Consider the following 21427-nt stretch of genomic DNA (forward strand, 5'->3'; position numbering starts at 1 on the left):
TTAAGTTGAATCTAACACTTACAGTTTTCAACCAACTTGGTCAAAACTTCAAAATATTTTTCCAAACTTCAAAATATTTGTAAAAGAGATACATTGAGAGATTGTATTCAGAAGTGCTTCTAATTCCTCTTTCCCTCTGCCCTTCTGATTTCCTATAGATATGTACCTAAACCATCTCATCCAGGCCACTGTGGTTAAATGTCATATAAGCAACTAGGAAAAGGGCCTAGTACAAAACATGTGTTCCTTACACGCATGAATACACCTGAAACAAACCCTCTAATTTATAAGTGAAATAAAAGCCAAATAAAACCAGAAAAAACTGAATGTGTGATTTATTATGTTTAAGATTGGTTTATAAGGCTTAAATATATCTGTCATAGTTAACAGTTAACAGCAAATAAAGGCAACTTTACAAAATCAGTGTTTCCATACAGTACAGGACTAAATGTGGCAACTGTGCATTGGAAAATTAATATTTCCTCAATGCAAATATCAAATCTGCAGCACCATTTAGAAGCTTCCACTAAAAACTCAAGCTGCAGTATTTATTACAAGCTCTACTCAGAACACAAGGCTACCTAAATCAAGCATTAGAGAAAAACAGTGGAGTCATTCAGGCATAATATGTCAGATTTGGTACAGGATTAAAATACTAACATTTTTAATGTCCTGGTTTCAAATTAATAAATACAAAAACAATATAAAAATATACAACCAGTTGATAAGACTGTACTGCAGATGCTCAGAAAGTTAAATCTCGCTCTCATATGTATGCAGGTATGTCTTGAGTGTCAGGATTTCTGGGTAGCTGCGGCTGGTCTTTCGGAAGAAGTCCAGGCTGGTGAGATGTTCAATGTCACGCACCCTAGCTGTGTGCATCTTCATGAGTTCTTCTACCCATTTTGATTCGTCCTCTGAGCTCTGCAATGGAAACAGAACAAAATCAGAATCAGAATTTTCCAGAGGAGTTTCTCCAAATGGTCAGTTTACTCCAAGTCCACAAATGACCTCTGTGCACTCTTGCACACAGAGCCAACGCATGTTGATCCTTCCTGGCCTCCCTGCCACTCTACCGCATTCCTATGGGTAATGTGCCACAAATACCTGCCCTTGGCTGTAAACATTTTCAACAGCAATTAACTGTACCAAATAAACGAGACATGTGGTGTCAGAGGGCATTTGACTCAATAGGTTCTCAGAACATAAATCAAAATTAGGAAAACCAAAGGCCCTAGAGAATTCAGTAATTTGTTTCTTTTCCAAGCTGTCAAATTGCAATATTGAGCACAGAGTACAAGTAACTTGGAATATGCTTCTGCTTCCCAAGGAAAGTGAAGAACTTAAGCCTAATGCACGAAATGATGTGTGTGCATTCCTAGTTTTTCAAAAGAAACTGCTGCATCAACCACGTCATCTACTAGAATGCATAAATTGCTATTTGAAAAATGAGGTCAACTCGAAACCACTCAGTTGACACATCTGGCACTCTAGGGCCCAACAGGCCAGAGTTGGAAATGAGGCTGTACTACTTCTTGGCTATGAGACCTTGGTCAAGCTACTTGACTTTTGAGGCCTCAGTTTCTTCCTTGGTTCACAAGGATAATAATGCTTACTTCTGCAGCTCCCTGGGAGGTTAGGGAGGAGAGGAGGGAAGAAGCGGGGGGAAAGGTAAAGCAAGGAAACACGGAAAAAAGAAAGTGAATCTCTGCCTCAGCTGCTTGCCAAAAATTGCCCCACTGACACAAGTTGCAGATGAAAGACATTCAGATGTCCTGCATCAAACAACTTATTTCATGTCTAACTTGAAACTAAAAGGTAATTCAGGGGAAGCAGTTCTTTGCATCTCAAAAATAGCTTCTTTCATTTTTGTGGGAAGTTGAGGGAAAGAGTGAGATCTGAGAGCCCTGTGAATATGGAGCAGTGTCTACTTTCATTAGTAGACATTGAGCAGGACCTTTGCAAGTAATTCCATTCACAAATGCCTCTGGAATTGCAATGGCTTCCAAGAGCCCTTCTACAAGTTGAAGGGTGGCTGCATGTCCTAGGTCTGGGAATATTCAGACATGCCCTCATCCAACTCTTTACCACCAGTGGTCTCAGTGAACTATCCACCAAAGCCCAAGAACCTGCAATGGGCTTTCTCGGAAAGCTCCAACCCACACAAACCTGGACAGGGAACTGCAGCAGCTTGTGCCAGTGCTAAATATGTTCGGGAGGGTGTTGGTTCAGGAAACTGATGCCTGGCCATCTCAGGCAAAATGAAGAAAGGGGAAGAAATTGCTTTGCAGGCTGGGGAGGTAAGAATTTTAACCTTCATGTCCCACCCTCCTAACCCAACCTAACCAAGATCTCTGCGATTCACAGGAAAGGAAAGACCTAAATATAACTCTACCCACAATGGTACTGACCAGTCCTCAGTGTGACCCTATAATTAACGAAGTAGGAGGTCTCCAGATGGGTCAGGACCCCCTCAGAGTAAGCAGGGCAAGCATGAGCCTGTATTTTGAGAGAATTTTCATATTCAGCTCATTTGTTTGATTTTTCAGTGGTCAGTCAGTCCAATTTTTTTCTTTGTAAATGCAGTCATTTTGAATGTGTGGACAGGGGTGAAAAGGTTTTTCCTAATTTAAATGATGGCTAGCTGGGATTATAAGAATTCTGCAAAAACATCTGTCTTTTGCTATTTCTTTCCTTGGGAAGTGATTTGCCAATTTCATTGGAGAGGCAGTCTCTTCCGGTTCTCACACTCTGAAATCTGTTCTATAATTCATCATTAGGAAATACTAGCTATGTGGCATGTGAAGGAAATATCTTCTGCCTTGATGTTCGCTGGCAATCCACAGAAGCATTCGCTGATGAAGACTGTGCTGCAAGATGCAAAACTAAGACAATTCAGATAAAAGTTCATGAACAGCAAGGTAGGGAGGACAGGAAAGACTTTAAAAATAAAGCACTTAGAATATTAATGCAAACAAAAGCACAATCCATGAACTTGCTTGCTGTCTTCCTCATTATGGACATTGATTCTTCACCTGTCTTTTCTCCCTGACTTTCTCCCCAGGTTTGTGAATTCAAGTCCCAGAAGTTTTAAGGTAAAATTCACAGCAAGGACAGCTTCTACATGAACAGGTGACCCTTCAACGAGAAGCATGCTGGCCACGAACTCTACAAGAAGTGCCTCCAGACTCTGTGCAGAGTCAGGAACCAGTAGGGAGAGGAAAACCTGTAAGGACTTCAGTGGATTTCATTTATCAGATATAAAATTTAGATCGATTACAGAACAGCCTTTGTACCAAGTTTAGAGCAGTATTTTTAAAACTCCCCATCACCAAATTCCTCTAATGACCGAACTTGAACATCTATTCCCCAGGAATCTAGGTACACCTTAAATGGCCTACTATGTATATGAAATACCTTTGTAGTCTTTTCATCTTAGAACTGTATGGCAATTTTTATTTTTATCCCATAATACAACAGTTTAATGTTTTGCAAGAATTTCACCTCCCTACAAGTTTCTAATAAGACTGAAGCTCAGAGAACGTATACCATGTTATACGGAGGCATTACATCCACCTGGGGCTTTTGTGGTTGTAAACAACCAAAATTGAGAGGGCCAAGCCAGTAAGTTGATAACAGCTTGTCTCTCACTTGCAGTTTCCACATTTCTCTACCACCCATTCCCATCATTTATAAAACCCTATGGATCCTTCAAGTATAATATTGTTGTCTTCCATCCTTCCTTTTAGATCTCCAAGACCACAACCCCAGTTCAAGTTCTCTCTTGCCTCACTCCTGTGAATCTTGCCTAAGCCCTTTGAGCACAATGTTCAGTCTCCTCCATTTCAAATTTATCTTCCTAAAGCAGAGCCAAAAACGTTGCTCTTCCAACTAAACATTTTCCTTGGGTACCTAATGCCTAAAACGTACGAAAAAATTCCTAAATTCCCAAGGTTCTACTATGGAAGTCTGATAAATTGGAAAGAGGATGGGCTCTTGGAGTCAGAGGCCTTAAATCTAAAGCTCTGCTCTTCTGCTGACTAACCAAGTAACCACACAACATACTTTCCCCTTAGTAGCTATAAATTTCTCAACAGTTAACAAAAAGGCAGGGGAGAGATCATATATATATATATTTGCCTCATACTGTGGTTATATGATTAGAAATAATATATGTAGAGGACCTACACATAATCGGATCACAACATGTACTCAATAAATGGTAACAACTACTACTACTGCTCCTGCTATGATATCTACTATAGCTACTATTACTACTACTACTTTTTAAAAATTTGATTCCAATCAACTTTTAAAATCTTTTCTCCCACTATTTGCCCTCATTTCTAATATTCTGGCAAAACTTAATTCACTTTCTGGGATATATTTAAACTTTCTAATTTTCTTCTACATTCATAGCCTCAATCTTCACCCATAATTGAAGTCAACAGATCAAAAACTATCTTGCCCACAAAGCTGATCATCTCTATTGAAGCTATTCTTGTGGCTCCTTGCCTTTCAGTGTTGCAATTTCCATACCTGTTTTATTTGTTGACCCACTCTGTGGGCTGCCTAGGAATAGTGACTCTGTCTAACACACTCTTGTTTCTCCTAGAGTAGCTTATACAACTTAGGAATTTGAGTAGTACTTGTTGACTAAAGATTATCTTCTGTAGATTACATCTCTACTCCTTCTGTCATGTGAAACAAAAGCATAGACCATTACTTCTAAAATCAACCTTTGAGCACAAACTTTCCATCAAATTAAAAGGACCTGAAGGTTTTTCCATCTGTCCCTGAGTGTCAAGTTAGTACAGGGCCAGGAGCATATAGCATGGCTCCTGTCTTCCTCCCTAGTGTTTTCATGATGCCATCCTGCATCCTAGCTGTCTCCCCACAGGATGAGTGAATCAGGAGTCATCTGTGCTATCTGAGAAAACAGTGACTGCTACACCTCCATCATAACTAGTAGCAAACCTGATTAGTAAGGTATAGATTTCTTTCTCGCTTGCTCTTGCTTTGTGTGTGTGTGTGTGTGTGTGTGTGTTTGTGTGTGTGTGTGTATGTGTGTGTATTAAAAAGTTTTCATGGCTGGGTGCAGTGGCTCACGCCTGTAATCCCAGCACTTTGGGAGGCCAAGGTGGGTGGATCACGAGGTCAGGAGATTGAGACCATCCTGGCTAACACGGTGGAACCCTGTCTCTACTAAAAATACAAAAATTAGCTGTGCGTGGTGGTGGGCGCCTATAGTCCCAGCTACTCGGGAGGCTGAGGCAGGAGAATGGCGTGAGCCCGGGAGGCGGAGCTTGCAGTGAGCCAAGATCACACCACTGCACTCCAGCCTAGGTGACAGAGTGAGACTCCGCCTCAAAAAAAAAAAAGTTTTCATTATGGGCCACGCACAATGGCTCATGCCTATAATCCCAGCACTTTGGGAAGCCAAGGCAGGTGGATCACTTGAGGTCAGGAGTTCAAGACCAGCCTGACCAACATGGTGAAACCCCATCTCTACTAAAAATACAAAAATTAGCTGGGCATGGTGGTGCCCGCCTACAATCCCAGCTACTCGGGAGGCTGAGGCAGGAGAATCACTTGAATGCAGGAGGTGAAGGTTGCAGTGAGCCAAGATCAAACCACTGCACTCCAGCCTGGGCGACAGAGCTAAAAAAGAAAAAAGTTTTTTAATATGGAAATTTTTAAACATCCAGAAAAGTGAAGTGAGAAATAAAATTCCATGACCTCTTACCAAGCTTCAACAATTATCAAAATTTTGCTAGTTCCTACTTTTTTATAAAATTTTGTCATTCTCCACTTTCTTTTGCAAAATGAAAAACATTTGGACATTTATTTCTCAAAATTGTACACATTGATAGAATTATGTTAAATGCACACATATATTGAAAAATAAAGAGTCATTAGAAGGCAAAATTCCTACATGTTAAGCAAAGTTCTGTTTGGTTCCTTTCTTTTTTCTGTTTAGGGTGAATGCTTTATAATAAGTATGTTCTAGTTCAATGATGGAAATATAAAGTAAGAAACGAAGGTGAACTATGGAAGCAAATCCTAAAGGACTCTCTCTGTAAACTCACATTGCAGCTCTCCTCGTTGTCAGGCCGGTGAGGCAGGATGAAGGAGGACACAGAGAGAGGGCCGTCACACTTGTCGGCAGGCTGAGTGAAATCCAGACAGCTGGTGATGATGCTGTAGTAGTGAGTTGGAACAGGAATGGAACTGCCTTCCACGTACCTGAAACAGGAAGGTAAAACGAAGTCACAGTTGATGAGTTGATGTTGAAGCTTTCTTTTTTAAATGGTGATCAATGAATATTGCCTAAGTCACTAAAATTAATCCCCATTCAATTGAATCATTTTTCACTTCTAAGCACTAGCCCACTTCTATGTCTTTGAAAATAATGTTTTCTTTGCCTGGAATCCCCTCACTCCTCAACCTGGCAGAGTAAGAAAGATATTCCAGGCAAAGAAAATGGATTGATCTAAGAATTGGAGACAGGTAATGGTGAATAGACCAATGCAGTAGAAATGAAAGGCTGGAAGCGTCAATAAAAGCCAAATTATGGTGGGTTCTGAGTGCCAGGATATGGACTGGGGCATTATTATTTAGGTAGTAATGCTCCATTAAAGGTTTTTGTGCTAGGGAGTGTCATTCATTATTAGTTCCATGTTTCAGGAAGATAACTTTCCTAGAGTTGTATAAAATGGACAGGGGCAAGAGACATTAGAGCCAGGAGAATAATGACCCTTTCAAGCTACAATGAGATGCAGAACTTGATACAAAGAACTCATTTGCCAAAGGAAGTACTAAGGACCGAGTGCTAATGATGGACCTAGAGGTATAAAAAATATTTTCCTGTAGAGATCAGTACAGAAATTCATAATTCCTTGCCTGGTTTTCTATTATCTTAATTTTATTCATTTTCCAAATATTAAAATTACGATTTAACTACTAATTTAATTTTGGCTAACAGTGATCAGCAATAAAATAAATGTGCAATTTACACAAAATTTCTCTTCAGAATGACTGGAAAAGAAGTAAGATAATTTCTATCTTATTTATCTGTATTTATAAAATAGCAATTTATTCTGTAATTATCTCTAAATCACAATTAAACCCTCTTATACTCTGGGCTGCTGATTGTTTCATGCTTGTATAAAATTAAATAACAACATTCTGAATTTGTCAACAAATTTGTTGACAAATTCAGAATGTTGTTATTTAATTTTATACAATGAAAATACATCCCAATCACTCTAAATCTTGCTTTCTCCACTAGACTGTGGGGTCCCTTATGAGCACAGATAATGGCTTTTATATGCCCAACAGCACCAAAGAGACAGAGACAACCAGATTCAATCCAAGTCCATAGGCACTTTGCTACTGAGAGGTACTGACTCAGAAAATCTAAGGGATTCTTAAGTCCCACCCAAATAATGAAGATAAGTGGGAATGGTCATCTTCCCATTGAAGAGCTGTTGAAGAAATGACTAAACAAAATTAAATCCTTTAATACATTTTTTTCATAGAATAAAAAAGTGCATTTATTTACCACAAAACCCAAAATTCCATTCCCACCACCAATGCCCATTTAATCAAAAGAATTGATAAATTCAGGCTGGGCACAGTGGCTCACACCTGGAATCCCAGAACTTTGGGAGGCCGAGGAGGGTAGAACACTTGAGGTCAGGAGTTCAAGACCAGCCTGGCCAACATGGTGAAACCCCGTCTCTGCTAAAAATACAAAAATTAGCTGGATGTGGTGGTGCATGCCTGTAATCCCAGTTACTCAGGAGGCTGAAGCAGGAGAATCACTTGAACCCAGGAGGCGGAGGTTGCAGTGAGCCGAGATCACATCACTGCAGTCCAGCCTGGGCAACAGAGCAAGACGCCGTCTCAAAAAAATATATATATATATATATTGAAAAATTCAAAAAACTTAAGGGGTGTCATCTCTTCTCTAGTATATGAATATTTGAAAAACTTCTTGAGTGAGATCTTGGGACTTAAAAATCACACACTGAGTAGAAATGAAACGCTTACTGTTTTATTTTGTCTTCTGTGTCATGTAAGCCATCATAGTCATAGTCGAAGATTGGTCCACTTATCACGTTAACTCCATTTCTTTCCGAAGCATATTTCTTCACCAATACCCTTTGGAAATAATTCCAGACCCCTGTGCAAAGACAAAAATCCAAAAATCAATTATTCATGAAGAAAACTCCTTACTCTAGCCAAATTCTCTCTAGGATGCATGCTACGAGCCAAATCTCACAAGCCAAGAGACAAGAGAGCTGTCGTGATTCATGAGATGAATCAATTCTATGGCATTACCAGTGTGTGTGTCATTTACAAACCAGCAAAGGGAACAGTGTAGAGCTATGAAACAATGGTAGGGGAGTTTAACGTAGTTCAAAAGTCAGGAAAGGATCCTCCCAAGCTGAGATCTGAAGCATGGATAAGTAGGTGGTGTTTCCCAGGCAGAACACGCCAGGCAGAGGGAACAGAATGTGCAAAAGAGGAAGTATGGTGTTTCAGAGTAATGAAAATAAGGCCTTACTCTTTCTTCTCGTCCTTCATATCTCATCAATATGCTAGTTCCCAGGTTTAAGCTTTACCCCTGACCTTTCCTGGAGATCCAGACATGTTATCCAACCACCTACCTCCTAATGCACTGGAATACCTAATATTCATGTCAAGCAAAAGAATTTTAATGTTCCTTCCTAATCCTGCCCCAACCCTCGCCTTCTCCATCATAATCAATGGCTCTGGCACTCACCCAGGTGTTTGGGCCAAAAGCCTAAGAGTCATCCTTGCTTTCTCTCCTAGCTATAGACACATGTGAACAATTCCTGTCAGTGCTATCACCAAAGTACATCCCAATTATCCCAAATTTGACCACCTCTCATCTTTTCACTGCTCTATCCTGGTCTAACTTACCATCCTCTCTGAGTGAGCTATCACACCACAAAAGACTATTCCCTGGGTTCCCTGTGAAATGCTTACTTCCCTTGTACCTTGTAGCCCACTCCCCCATATCGTAGCCAGACGGAGCCTTTTACACCATAAGTCAGACTGTATCTTTCTCTTGCACGCACATGCACACACACACACACACCACCCATTTCCAACACTCCAGATTATTTTTCATTGTAATTAGAGTGAAATCCCAACTCCCCACCATGGTCTTTGCCTACCTCTGTGACTTTACTTCCTACCCCTTTCCCTATCACTCGCAAGACTTTCTTCCTGTCCCCTGACTTTTCCCCTAACTTATTTCAGGCTAAGCTTTTGCACTTGCTCTTTCCTTCGTTTGAAAAACATTCCTGGATCTGTGCATGTCTGCTTTCTCCTCTATAATTCTTTCTCACTTTCACTGTCATCCCCTGCAGAGAACTGCCTTATCCTCCTGCTTCTAATTTCCATAATGGCCAACCAGAGGGGCAGAATGGAAATGGAGAAAAACAAGAGAATAACAGAAGGAGACAGGATAGGCAAGCAATGGGTTGGTTCTGAAATATTAGATCGAATTCGCCATGCTGTCTTCAACATGGGTGTCATGCGGTTCTGGCTGTTAACCCCTCTTCCCTCCCCTTATTAAAAAGCACCTGGCCATGCTTCTCATACTGCTTCAATTGCTCTTCCTGCCTTCTGAAACTCTGAATGGCAGAGCAGCCCACAAGAGCCAAAATACCTTAGATAATTATTTGCAGTCAAGAAAGAAGCCAGACAGTAAGAAAGGAGTTCAAACGTTAACTTAAGCATTAAGAAAAAATGGAGAGGAAGAGAAGGAAAGAAACAATGAGAACAGTCAAAAGGCCAGGCCTGCAGAAATGTGGCATGTGAAAAAACCACCCCCCTCGTGGAGAACAGCAAGCTCTCTATGAAAGGCCTTCTCCACACCAGCCTCAGGGTGGTACTGTGTGTTGCCTTGATTACCATTTGGTCAAAAAAACACATCAATAAAGAATAAAGAAATCCAGAGAACCCTGATTTGCAGAAATTAAATGAAGCTGCATTCTATGTAATATTGTGATAAATGTAACTATGTGAGTTTCTGAAATGCTTCTCAGTTGGGTCTGAGAACAAACCAAGAAATCTTTTTAAAAGCATACTTTAATTTTTCACTCATAAGCAATAAATTCTCTTTGAATAAACCTTCGTTTACTAACTAGGACATCAAATAAACATTTTTTTCTCTAAACCGTGTGGCCCTTTTCACCAATGTTAAGCTGCGGAGGCCCGCCACTGTAGCTGACACTCCACAATCGCCCATTCCTATTTTGAGACTCCCTTTCAGCCCTGAGAGTTACATAACACAGCCTGAACCTCCTCCATCAAGTTGAAGCACATAGAGGTGCTTCCTTTTCCTACCTTTCCCATAACGATTTAAGTTCTGTTCACTACAAATGTACTGAAAGGTGGTAAAAGCTACTTCATAATGCTTACTCTATCTTTGAACACATGGATAGATAAAAGGATGGATGGGTGGACAGGGGGATGGATGGATGAATGAGGATGGAGACATAGATGAATAGTTAACAGAAACAAAAAATGCAGTGCTTTCGACATTGGATAATTAAGTCAGAAATCCATATAAACCTTAGAGGTCATGCAATCATATCTCTTAATTTCACAAATGAGAGATTTAATGACATTTCTATGATCACACAGCCTGTGGTCACACTCCAGGAACTTGGCTTTTTGTGCCCGAGCTCATTGTGCCTATACAATTCTTGACTTCACCAGCATCCACAAATATTTATGTCAGGTACAAAGAAATTACAAATGTTCAAAGAAACTAAAATAATTGGTACAGGACTAAAATCATCTGAAATAAACACTCTGATGATTCAGAAGGTCCTTTCGGCTCTTGCTGGGTTTCAGGGCCAACATTCAGAAAATGTTATCACCCCAAGAGGAAGAGGTGCTACTGGCTTTTACTGCAATGCTCAACAAATAAATATAGATGCTGTTAAATATCAAGTGGCTTTCAAAATATAGTGAAGACCCTTTTTAACCATTAAGATAATAAGTATTGAAATAAAAATAACAACCATATTAGAAGAAAAACACAAACTTGGGTTAGTTCAGTTTCTACCATGCATGACCTGTGGTCACTTTCTGTGATATCAATTTCTTAATTATAAACCGGGGATAAACTACCAGCCAACCTTCCTCACAGATTCAAATTTTGGATCAATGTAGAAAGTTTACATGAAATCAAAGTTTACATCAATGTAGAAAGTTTACATGAAAGATCCTCAAAAATTATAAAGGTTAAACACATGAAAAGTATTCTTATTAAAATTAACAGAGGTAGAAAAGGTAAGGGGTAAATTTAGAAATGTTTATTTTCATAAATAACAGTGTATTAGGTAAATATTGGACTTACGTTTGAAAGCAGGATACATTGGAACCATATTGGTTACAAGGAATGCATCATATTTAGCCTCTGGTGAAGAGCTCAGATCTAAACATTAGGAAAACAAATAGTATACGTTGCTTACCAAAATCTATATCAGTTAAAAAAAAAAGGGAGAGGGGGGTAGAATTTTCTTAAATGGTCCAAACAACATGAAGTAAATGAATCTACTCTTTTATTCCTACTCCTAACTGCGTTATACAACATGTCCTTACTCCCCTCCCACTCAGTCTCTTCTTCACTCAATAGCTCTCTCCCAAGAGCCATTTACAATGTTTTTTTCTTACTGTCTACTTCTTGAGTCTACCAACATTATGTAAAATAACTCCTTGATTTCATCAGTGCCATTTAGACTTAAAAAAAAATCATCAAGGTAATGAGAGATGGTTTAAGGGCTTCAGATTTTTTTTTTTAAATATGGAATCTTGCTCTGTCACCCAGGGTGAAGTGCAGTGGCCTGATCACAGCCCACTGTAGCCTCAATCTCCCAGATTTAAGGGATCCTCCCACCTCAGCCTCCAGAGTATCAGGGACTACTGGCGTGTGCCACCAGCTCAGCTAATTTTTTAATTTTTTTAGAGACAAGGTCTTGCTATGTTGTCCAGGCTCATCTCGAACTCCTGGACTCAAGCAACCCTCCCATCTTGGCCTCCCAAAGTGCTGGAATTACTTTGGGATTACAATGGTGGCTCATGCCTGGCCTCAAGCAATCTTAAGAGATCCCCTCTATAGTATTACATAAACGACTAGTGTCTTAATGATTCACTGTTTCCTTTTCAGATTCTCATTTAATAATGTAAGGCGGGACACAGAAGATTCCCTTGCACATTAGAATTCCCCTGGAGAATTAGATTTTTTTGAAAGCTAGTCACTTTTTGGCTGATTTTGGAAGGATCCCATAAAAATTCATTTAGATAATCTTCTGAGCACCCTCTCTTGAAGAAAACCCAAGCCACTGAAATTCCAAATACCAAGATTGCACAATGTGACATCCCTCTGAAGGCATCAGATCTTGATATTCTTAACTTACAAGGAGGAAAGAGGAATCCGTAGGACATCTGCTTATCATTTTTGTAGGCCAAACAGTTCTGACTGAAACTCGGAGAAACACGGACATCAGGCCGGACGCAACTGGTCAGATGGTCAGGAACGCTGGAAACCTCAGCCTGCACGGGAGTCAGAGGCACTCAGCAATGCCGTGGCTCTGTTACGAACGGCTGAAATCAAAACCCCTCTGGCTTCTCCTATGCTTGTATTCTGATTGATAGTCTGACTCCTTTTTTAAATTTTTTATCTTTGATAGTCTGACTTCTTTTTAAAAGTCCTTAGTTTTAAGTACAGTAAGCCACAAGTTTTCAAACTTTTTTTAATCAACATAACTCTCTTTATCAAAGTCTTAAGAAAAACAATATAGAAAGCAGAACATAAAGCAGAAATCCCACTGTTGAAATAATAAATAGAATCTCATTGAAGATAACTTATAAAATAACACTCTTACAAACAATATAGATGTATCTCCTCTAAATAGACTATTTATCTGTGTGTGTGTGTGTGTGTGTGTGTGTGTGTGTAGAATGTACAAGAACATACGTATGTGTACACAGTACAAATCAAAATAAACTGTATTTGGGGCAGTAGAAGTGTTCTCCTCCTTTGTATTAAAAAATTTTAAACATGCCTCAACTGCCAAATAACATTTTCTAATTTGTGATATATACCTATTTATCTCATCTTCATCAAAACTGAAACCCCCAACATAAAACTTTTGTTAAAAAACAACAGGGCCAGGCGTGGTGGCTCATGCCTGTAATCCCAGCACTTTGGGAGGCCGAGGCAGGCAGATCACCTGAGGTCAGGAGTTCGAGACCAGCCTGACCAACATGGCAAAACTCCATCTCTACTAAAAATACAAAAATTAGCCAGGTGTGGTGGCGTGCATCTCTAATTCCAGCTACTCGGGAGGCTGAGGCAGGAGAATCACTTGAACCCAGGAGGCAGAGGTTGCAGTGAGCTGAGATCATGCCACTGCACTCCAGCCTGGGAGACAGAGCAAGACTCGGTCTCAAAACATTAGAAAAAAAAAAAAAACAGATGCTGATAGTGGGGGAGGTTGAAGGGGGGTGGGTGAGTATGTGGGAACTCTGCACTTTACACTCAATCTTGCTGAGAAATAAAATGTGCTCTTAAAATATAAAGTCTATTAAAATAAATAAACAAACCTTGGCAGTTTCTGTAACTATTGGGCAATGACTTAGGCAGAGTAAAAGAAAATAAAAGAATTAGTGATCTACCTTCAAAGTTTAACATATTCCCATGGAATTACCAGAACATTGAATAAAGGCTAATTCAAAATATCTTACAATAAATCCAACATAGGATTTCTGTCATTAAGAAAAAATAAAATATTTTCTAAGACAAAATTCTGTTAAGCAAGGAATCATTGTATTAACATGAGGAATGTAATAAAATAAAAAATATAAAATCCAATTTTCTCAATGACCTGTTTGGAAACAGTATATGATGTCCAGAGTGGCATTAGGAATATTTCACTATAACCACTTTCAAAGTCAGTGTGATATAAGATATCATATCTAGTCCGATAAAGCACTGCAGGTCGCCCATAGAGGAGGTGTCTCTCTAAAAAAGAAAAAAAATAAACTGTGTTAGGTGCATATTAAATTTTACATCAAATGTTAAAGAAATGTTGGAAGAGTCAAGTTACCTAAAATGGCTAGCTTACTTATTATTAATATAGCACCTTCTCCTTAATTTAATCAAGCTAGTTTTCCTAACACTTTTGTGGTTGATCTGATCACCTAACCATGGGTCAAGCTTTACAGTTATCAAAACCATAATGTAAATGCTGTATTTACAGAATGCTTTTTTTAGTTGTAAAGAATTTACAATTTGTATATAAAGGAAACATTATGTAATAAATTTTGAAATGATTCAGCTGAATGGAAAGCCAATAGGATTGGATTTCTGTAGAATTAATTATTTTGACCCCTGAAGAGGCTTATCAGGTACACCAATGATTTAATTAAGAAGAAGGCACACATTGATCATTATATGCATACAGCAACTCAAATATGCATTCCTTCAGCATAAAAAGTGAGTAGTAATGAGCATTTAAAGTAAGCAGCTTTGTCATACAGAGGAAAAGTCTTTAGGTAAGAACTTAAAGGAACATGTATAGATAAAATAAGTGGGCATTCAAGAGGGTCTTCTAAGTACAGAAGAGGGAAGTTCATCAGTTACCAAAGAACTCAATGAAGACCCCCAGTGCAGATTCAGACCTCCAAAGGAAAGCTCTCTTCTTAGGAAAAAAAAAGGTCTGAAGCTTTACTCTTTGCGGAAGAAGAGATGGGAGTTCAGTATGAAAATCTTCATTCCACACTCTGCAATAAATACCTGGAGCTTGATCTGCCCACTTTGGATAGGCTAAAGTCAAAACTTCCACAGATTCTTGGAAATGTGGGGCCCTACAGACCAAAATATTTAGAGACTGAGGCTTAGGCAATTCACAATTCCTTAAGTGATAAATTTAAAAAAAAATAAATTCTTGTACTATTTTTTCTACTAGAGAAAATCAGTTCTGAAAAACACTTATTAAATAATGTATACATGTTGCTTTAATTAAAGTCTTACCATTCTATGCAAGTAATGGAGAAAAGTCTTCGTAGAATACTTTGCAAGACCCTCCCAGATAGAACTGCGGATTTGAGACAAAGCGGCCCACACTATTACAACACAAGCCTGTTCTGGGTAGTTCGGCTGCTCCAGCATTGCAGTAAATGTAGAAGCCTTAGTTAAGCTGCCAAATTTGGGGACCCACCCCTAAGGATTAGAACATAATCTGACAATATTAAATAAATGAAATATAATAAACAAATAAAACACCAGCAAATCGTAACAGTAGTACTTAGGGGCAGTAAAACAACCCAGACTTTCCTTCAAAACTCAAACCAAACCTTTTCTAGGTTCAAAATTTCCATTAATGTTTTCCTTGTTTTCATTTCTGCTGCCTCTGAATTTCCTGGTTTCAGCTGGAAGCAGAAGTATCAAAATTCTTTGAGAAGCTATTCTCTTTTCATCATTTAAGTTTTCATGGTTACCACACACAGTCCTCCAAACTCAAATTCAAGCTTGGCATCTAATCGATTCCATTAGGGGACAATAAAATAGCAGCCATGTTCCCATACGCAATACCCCTCCCTAGAGCAACCACCAAACAAAAATCTTGGACAATCTATAGTCTCTACTAACTCTGGCTCTTCCTCTAAATCCTCCTCATTTCTAAGCATTCAACGTAACACTCTATTCCACAAAGGCTAATGTATTTGCAACACTCTCTTCACAATTGTTGTTAGCAACATTACACTATCATATATGCTATTTCCTTTCTCTCTACCAGAAATAACTTCTCCAGTCTTCGCCAAGTCTGTCACCTATCTCCTTCCAAATGTATCCATTATTCTTCATCATCAAACATTGAGCGCCTTGGTTGTGCCAGACCTTGCGCTGTAGAATGGAGGTACTGGGCAAAGATGATTAAGATAGAGCTCTTACCCTCAAAGAGCTCACAAGTCAAAGGGAGAGACAAACATAGCACAAATAACAGATGCCATGTGGTCTGCACCATATTAAAGATAGTTACAGAGTGTGATGGGAATGCAGAGGATGATGAATACTGGAAATGGAGTGAAGGTGGCATCAATAAAGTCCTTTAAGGAGCATATGAAGTTAAACCAGGCTGGCCCCATGTTACAGTTTTATGCCTGTTGCCCTGGTATAATTGTTAATAGTGTCCCTTTTCACGCTCAAAAGTGTATGACAAATATTCAGCCCTCATGGAAGAGACATGAAGAAGAAAGGGCGAGGGGCCCAAGAGGGGCAGAGATATCTTAAGATTCATTTTCTCTGCCGGGCATGGTGGATCATGCCTGGAATCACAACACTTTGGGAGGCAAAGGCGGGTGGATTGCTTAAGGTCAGGAGTTCAAGACTAGCTGGCCAACATGGCAAAACCCTGTCTCTACTAAAAATACAAAAATTAACCAGGCACGGTGGTGCGCACCTGTAATCCCAGCTACTAGGGAGTCTGAGACAGGAGAATCGCTTGAACCCAGGATGTGGAGGATGCAGTTAGCCAAGGTCATGCCACTGCACTCCAGCCTAGGTGACAGAGCGAGGCTCCGTCTCTTAAAAAAAAAAAAAAAAAAGATTCATTTTCTCCTGAAAGGTTTCCTCAATAAAGCTTCTCCATCTCTACTCACTCTACTGCTCTACATATATAGATTCAACTTGCTTCAGAAATTTGGGTTCTGGCCAGGCATAGTGGCTCACGCCTGTAAGCCTAGCACTTTGGGAGGCTGAGGTGGGCAGATCACTTGAGGTCAGGAGTTTGAGCCAGCCTGGCCAACATGGTGAAACCCCATCTCTACTGAAAATACAAAAATTAGCCAGGCATGGTAGCACACGCCTGTAATCCCAGCTACTTGGGAGGCTGGGGCAGAACTGCTTGAACCTGGGAGGCAGAGGATGCAGTGAGCCAAGATCGTGCGACTGCACTCCAGCCTGGGCAACAGTGCAAGACTCTGTCTCAGAAAAAAAAGAAAAGAAAAGAAAGAAATTTGAGTTCCATAGCTTCCAAGCTATTGTCATAACTGCAAGTTTTGGCACACAGCTGGAACACAAAAGTATCACTGACTGCCTTTTTCTCAATTATTACTGAGCAAAAATAGCATAATAAGGGGAAAAAATACAGTGGTTTTTACAGCCTCCTAAAAATCCAACCAAGGTCCCCAATGACCCAAAAAAATCTACTTGGGTCTTCCTGGAGCTTAACAGTTTCATCTAAGAAAGAGGGGGAAATAATCTCTGCAGTAAGAAACACAGATTTTAAGGTCCAGAATCAAAATTTAGATTTTATTTTTTCAGTTTATCAAAGTATCAAAGAATCACAGATTCAGAGTCATAGCCTGACTCTCCTAGTCTTTATGACATCTTGGGGGAGCCACCCACTGCATTTTTGTTGAGCAAAAAGTCTCTCTACTCAGGCCACAAAATGTACTTGAATCTTGTTCTCGGCACACATTGAGATCTTTATCTCGAGACCAGCAACCCTGGAGACTAGCCTGCAAGCCTCTGCTTCTGCAATATGTTTCTGGGATTTCTTCACGTGGATCTAGTATAACCTGGTCTTCCCAGGCTGAGAATGCCTGTCATGGAATTCCAGACCGAGCCTTCATTCCACACCCCAGTTCCCTGTTTACAATAGTGTCTCTGGCAGTTTTGGTACATGCCAAGGTTCTCCTCCAGATACCACACTTGGCAAAATACTGTGAGGCCAATCTTTTTAAGTGGTGTGGACTTCCCCAGCACTCATTCTTTTTGTATTCCAAATTTGGGTCGTAGAGACTGGAGTTTGTGTTCCTTTTCCCTCCTCAGCTTCCTGATTCAGATTCCCACAGATGAGCAGGCTGTCTTGAGAGCCACATGAAAATCTCTCCTCTTTTTTGTTTTTTTAAAACATACACTCCCACAATAATATGCTCTTAAATCTTACCACAAAATCTCTACCCAAGATCTTTCCTTTTCTTGCATACTTTCTCCTTTGCCTTACAAGTGCCTATTATCATTTGCTGCCATTTCAACCTCCTCTGAGATTTGATTTAAGGCCTCTCTTTAGTGCCCTGTTCTTTCTTACCCCAACCTTGAAAACATTATGCTGTAATGTATCAACTGGATAAATCCTACAACAGAACAATAACTTTATGAGGACAAGGACTTCATCTGTTTTACTCACCACTGTATCTTCCATCTCCAACAATGCCCATCACATAATATCTACTTGGCAAACACTTGTTGGTAAGTTAATGATACATATTTTTTTTAAATCTTGGCTTTCTACATATGACCTGTCTAATGTTACCCTGAAAGGTACACTGGGCAGGTCAGTAGTATCATCTCCAACTTACTGATGAAGGAACTGGAGGTTTATGATTTGCACAAAATAATTCAGCTGCATAGCAGCACTAGAATCCCAGGCCATTACTCTTCTGCTTGGCCTTTTGGGTGGTCTCCAGTTGGGTGCTGGCCGCTGGGTTATTTCATGGAGAGTGTATGGGAAAGAAGATCCAACTACTTCCCGGCAGGAACTCTGCCCGAGTAATGCCTACTGAGAAGCTAATGAGGACAGTAGTTTCTGTCAAAGCATCTAGTATTTCAGAAGCAACTTCCAAACTTTGATATACAAATTTTTTGTTGAGCAAAGAGTCTCTCTACTTAGGCCACAAAATGTATATGAAAAGCAAAATTTTCTTTTGACATATTCCCTTTGTTCCCACTCTTAGAATAAGAAGCATTTTCAGATGAAAGCACATGGGCTTCAGTGTCATATAAAACTGCGTTCAAATCTAATCTCAGCTCTTTATAGTTGTGGTACTCTGTAACTTAATCTCCCAAAGCTTTATATCTCCCTGGAATGTTGCACTGTTTACAGGCAAAATATGTGAAGTGGCTTGTTTAGTTTTAACCCAAAGTAACTGCAGTTGTAGCAGTTGCAGTTGTACTGTTTAGTAAAGGTATGGGCTCTACCTCAATACTGGCAAAGAATATTGCTAGGTAAAAGTTGTTAAAATTCAATCTACCATCAAATTCATCTTGAATTCTACTATAAACAATAAACAATTACTATGTATTGATTTCTTCCAAGTATTCCCAAAAACACACAGATACACACGCAGACACAAACACTCAGAAGCAGGAGTGAATGCTATCTCCTTCTTTCTCTAGAACAACTAATATCTCCAAAGAAATAACACAAATGAGAAACATTCCAGAATTGACAAGAGCTAAAGAAGATGTTCCCTCTGTAGCCATATTCAGGACTCTGCTTTAAAGTTAACAAGAATTACTAGTGTTTAAGTCAATTTTCTTTTTCTTTTTTGAAACAGAGTTTCACTCTTGTTGCCCAGGCTGGAGTACAATGGCGAGATCTCGACTCACTGCACCTCCACCTCCTGGGTTCAAGCGATTCTCCTGCCCCAGTCTCCCTAGTAGCTGGGATTACAGGTGGATGCCACGATGCCCAGCTAATTTTTGTATTCTTAGTAGAGATGGGGTTTCACCATGTTGGTCAGGCTGGTTTTGAACTCTTGACCTCAGGTGATCCACCCACCTCGGCCTCCCAAAGTCCTGGGATTACAAGTGTGAGCCACTGACCGCACCCAGCTGTGTTTAAGTCATTTTCCTATCCAAACTAACTTCTCATTGTGTATGATAAGGAGCCAAGTATACATAGGTGTTAAAATTATTTTTAATTCCTTTTTCACAAAGATGATGGTGAGGGCTAACCTAAGAAAATATGAAACATTTTTATAGCAATGTAAATAGAGTAAAGACCAAGGTGAAAATAAATGGTGCAATTATTCTTGCAGTGAAAATTATACTTGGCTATAGTGCCAGAATTGCTTGCTACAAGAGATTTTTTAAATTTTCTTTTCATTCATTAATTCATCCATCAATTCAATGCCACAAGGAAATGAGTTTTCATTGCATGGAAAGTCGGCCAAGACATTAGGTATATGAGATCCAGAAATAACAACAGGCATGCAATTAAGACCTGGAGTCTACCACCTATCTAGAAATATTAAAGTTTAGCAAGCAGCTTAGATGGCCATTTTTGAGGATTACATTTTTCTTTCTCTTTATTTTAGTAAAGGATTTGATTCCATAACAGTTTAAATATTTATAGCAAAATATTGCCCAAGATTGGTTTAACATACCTCTTTTTTATCACAGATATCCCTGTGATCGTTTCACTATTGGAACATGCAGCTTTTACTCATGTATTTTGTACAGATGTATGACAGATTTTACAGCATATGCCATTAAAACAGTCACATATAAATGTTACAGGTGAAGTGTGTATAGCTCATGACATATTCTGAAAAATATCAACTACTTACATCTGTGTTTTAAAAAACTAATAATAAAAATAGTACAACTTTACATCTGTATAGAAGTTTAGGTTTACAAACTACTTTAAAAGCCTTCATATGTATTCAAAGGTACCTAGAAAGGGGAAGTAATTGCCCTGAACATAATACATGTGTGCTCACATACATGGTGGTTCACATTCACAAGGATCTCCTCCAGTAGGGCAGACACTGAATATTTTAAATGGGAGGCCAAATTTATGACACAGGAAACACCATAAAGGCCTGAAAGAACTCAGACCAAGAAAACATCGCTTTGCCACTGAAGAAATGACCAAGATAGAGCCCAAAAGGAAACAAAGCCCAAGAGACAGCGATAGGAGAGAGCAACAGGAGAAAGAGCATTGAGGTTTATACATATTCCAGCATCTAAGCAAGGAAATGCATTGCACATAATAAGACAAATATTTTTGAAGGCTCTCTTGTGTCATTAAATGTTGGTGCCACTAGGCCATGAGCAGACTTAGAATAGCATGAGCTATTCTAGATTCCCCCCTAATATTTTATGCCACCACTTTGAAGCCATGAATTAGAAACTCTCAGTGGTACAGTTGTGTCAGAGTAACCAGTGCCAGCCCAGTGTCAGTATTCAACAAATGCTTGCTGAATGTATCCATGAGGGTTTGTTTCCATGAAAATACACAAACTTTAAGCTTCAGCGGTATAAAAAGACACTTCAGGGATTTAAGTAAGAAACTCACGTTCCACTCAGAGCAGAGCAATGGAGATGTAACCTTACTAACTATAGCTCCTTATAGCCCTGAGAGTCAGTGATTCACTAAGAAGATGTGTCTTATTTTTATGCTCTTAAGTTTGAGGTGATTGTGTGTGTTTTTTTGTTGTTGTTGTTGTTTGTTTGTTTGTGAGACAGTCTCGCTCTGTCGCCCAGGTTGCAGTGCAGTGGTGCGATCTCAGCTCACTGCAACCTCTGCCTCCCAGGTTCAAACAATTCTCCTGCCTCAGTCTCCCACGTAGCTGGGATTACAGG

General features: G+C 39.5%; 1 protein-coding gene across 14 annotated transcripts in view; it reads right to left on the reverse strand.

Annotated features, from left to right (window-relative positions):
* ENPP2 (ectonucleotide pyrophosphatase/phosphodiesterase 2) overlaps positions 319–21427 on the reverse strand; it is a 116305-nt gene continuing 95196 nt past the window's right edge. For 7 of the 14 annotated variants that reach the window (XM_017013573.2, NM_001330600.2, XM_024447181.2 and 4 more), the window contains 7 exons: positions 15409–15483; positions 13938–14074; positions 12468–12603; positions 11408–11485; positions 8056–8188; positions 6090–6246; positions 319–924 (listed from right to left, as the gene is read on the reverse strand). In XM_017013573.2, the coding sequence (XP_016869062.1) occupies positions 754–924; positions 6090–6246; positions 8056–8188; positions 11408–11485; positions 12468–12603; positions 13938–14074; positions 15409–15483 (887 nt within the window). In that variant the 3' untranslated portion in view covers positions 319–753. The remainder of the gene's footprint in view (positions 925–6089; positions 6247–8055; positions 8189–11407; positions 11486–12467; positions 12604–13937; positions 14075–15408; positions 15484–21427) is intronic. The other 7 variants (NR_045555.2, XM_024447182.2, XM_017013574.2 and 4 more) reach the window with 1 other exon arrangement.

Source organism: Homo sapiens, chromosome 8 (genome assembly GCF_000001405.40).
Source record: "Homo sapiens chromosome 8, GRCh38.p14 Primary Assembly".
Taxonomy (NCBI): Eukaryota; Metazoa; Chordata; class Mammalia; order Primates; family Hominidae; genus Homo; species Homo sapiens.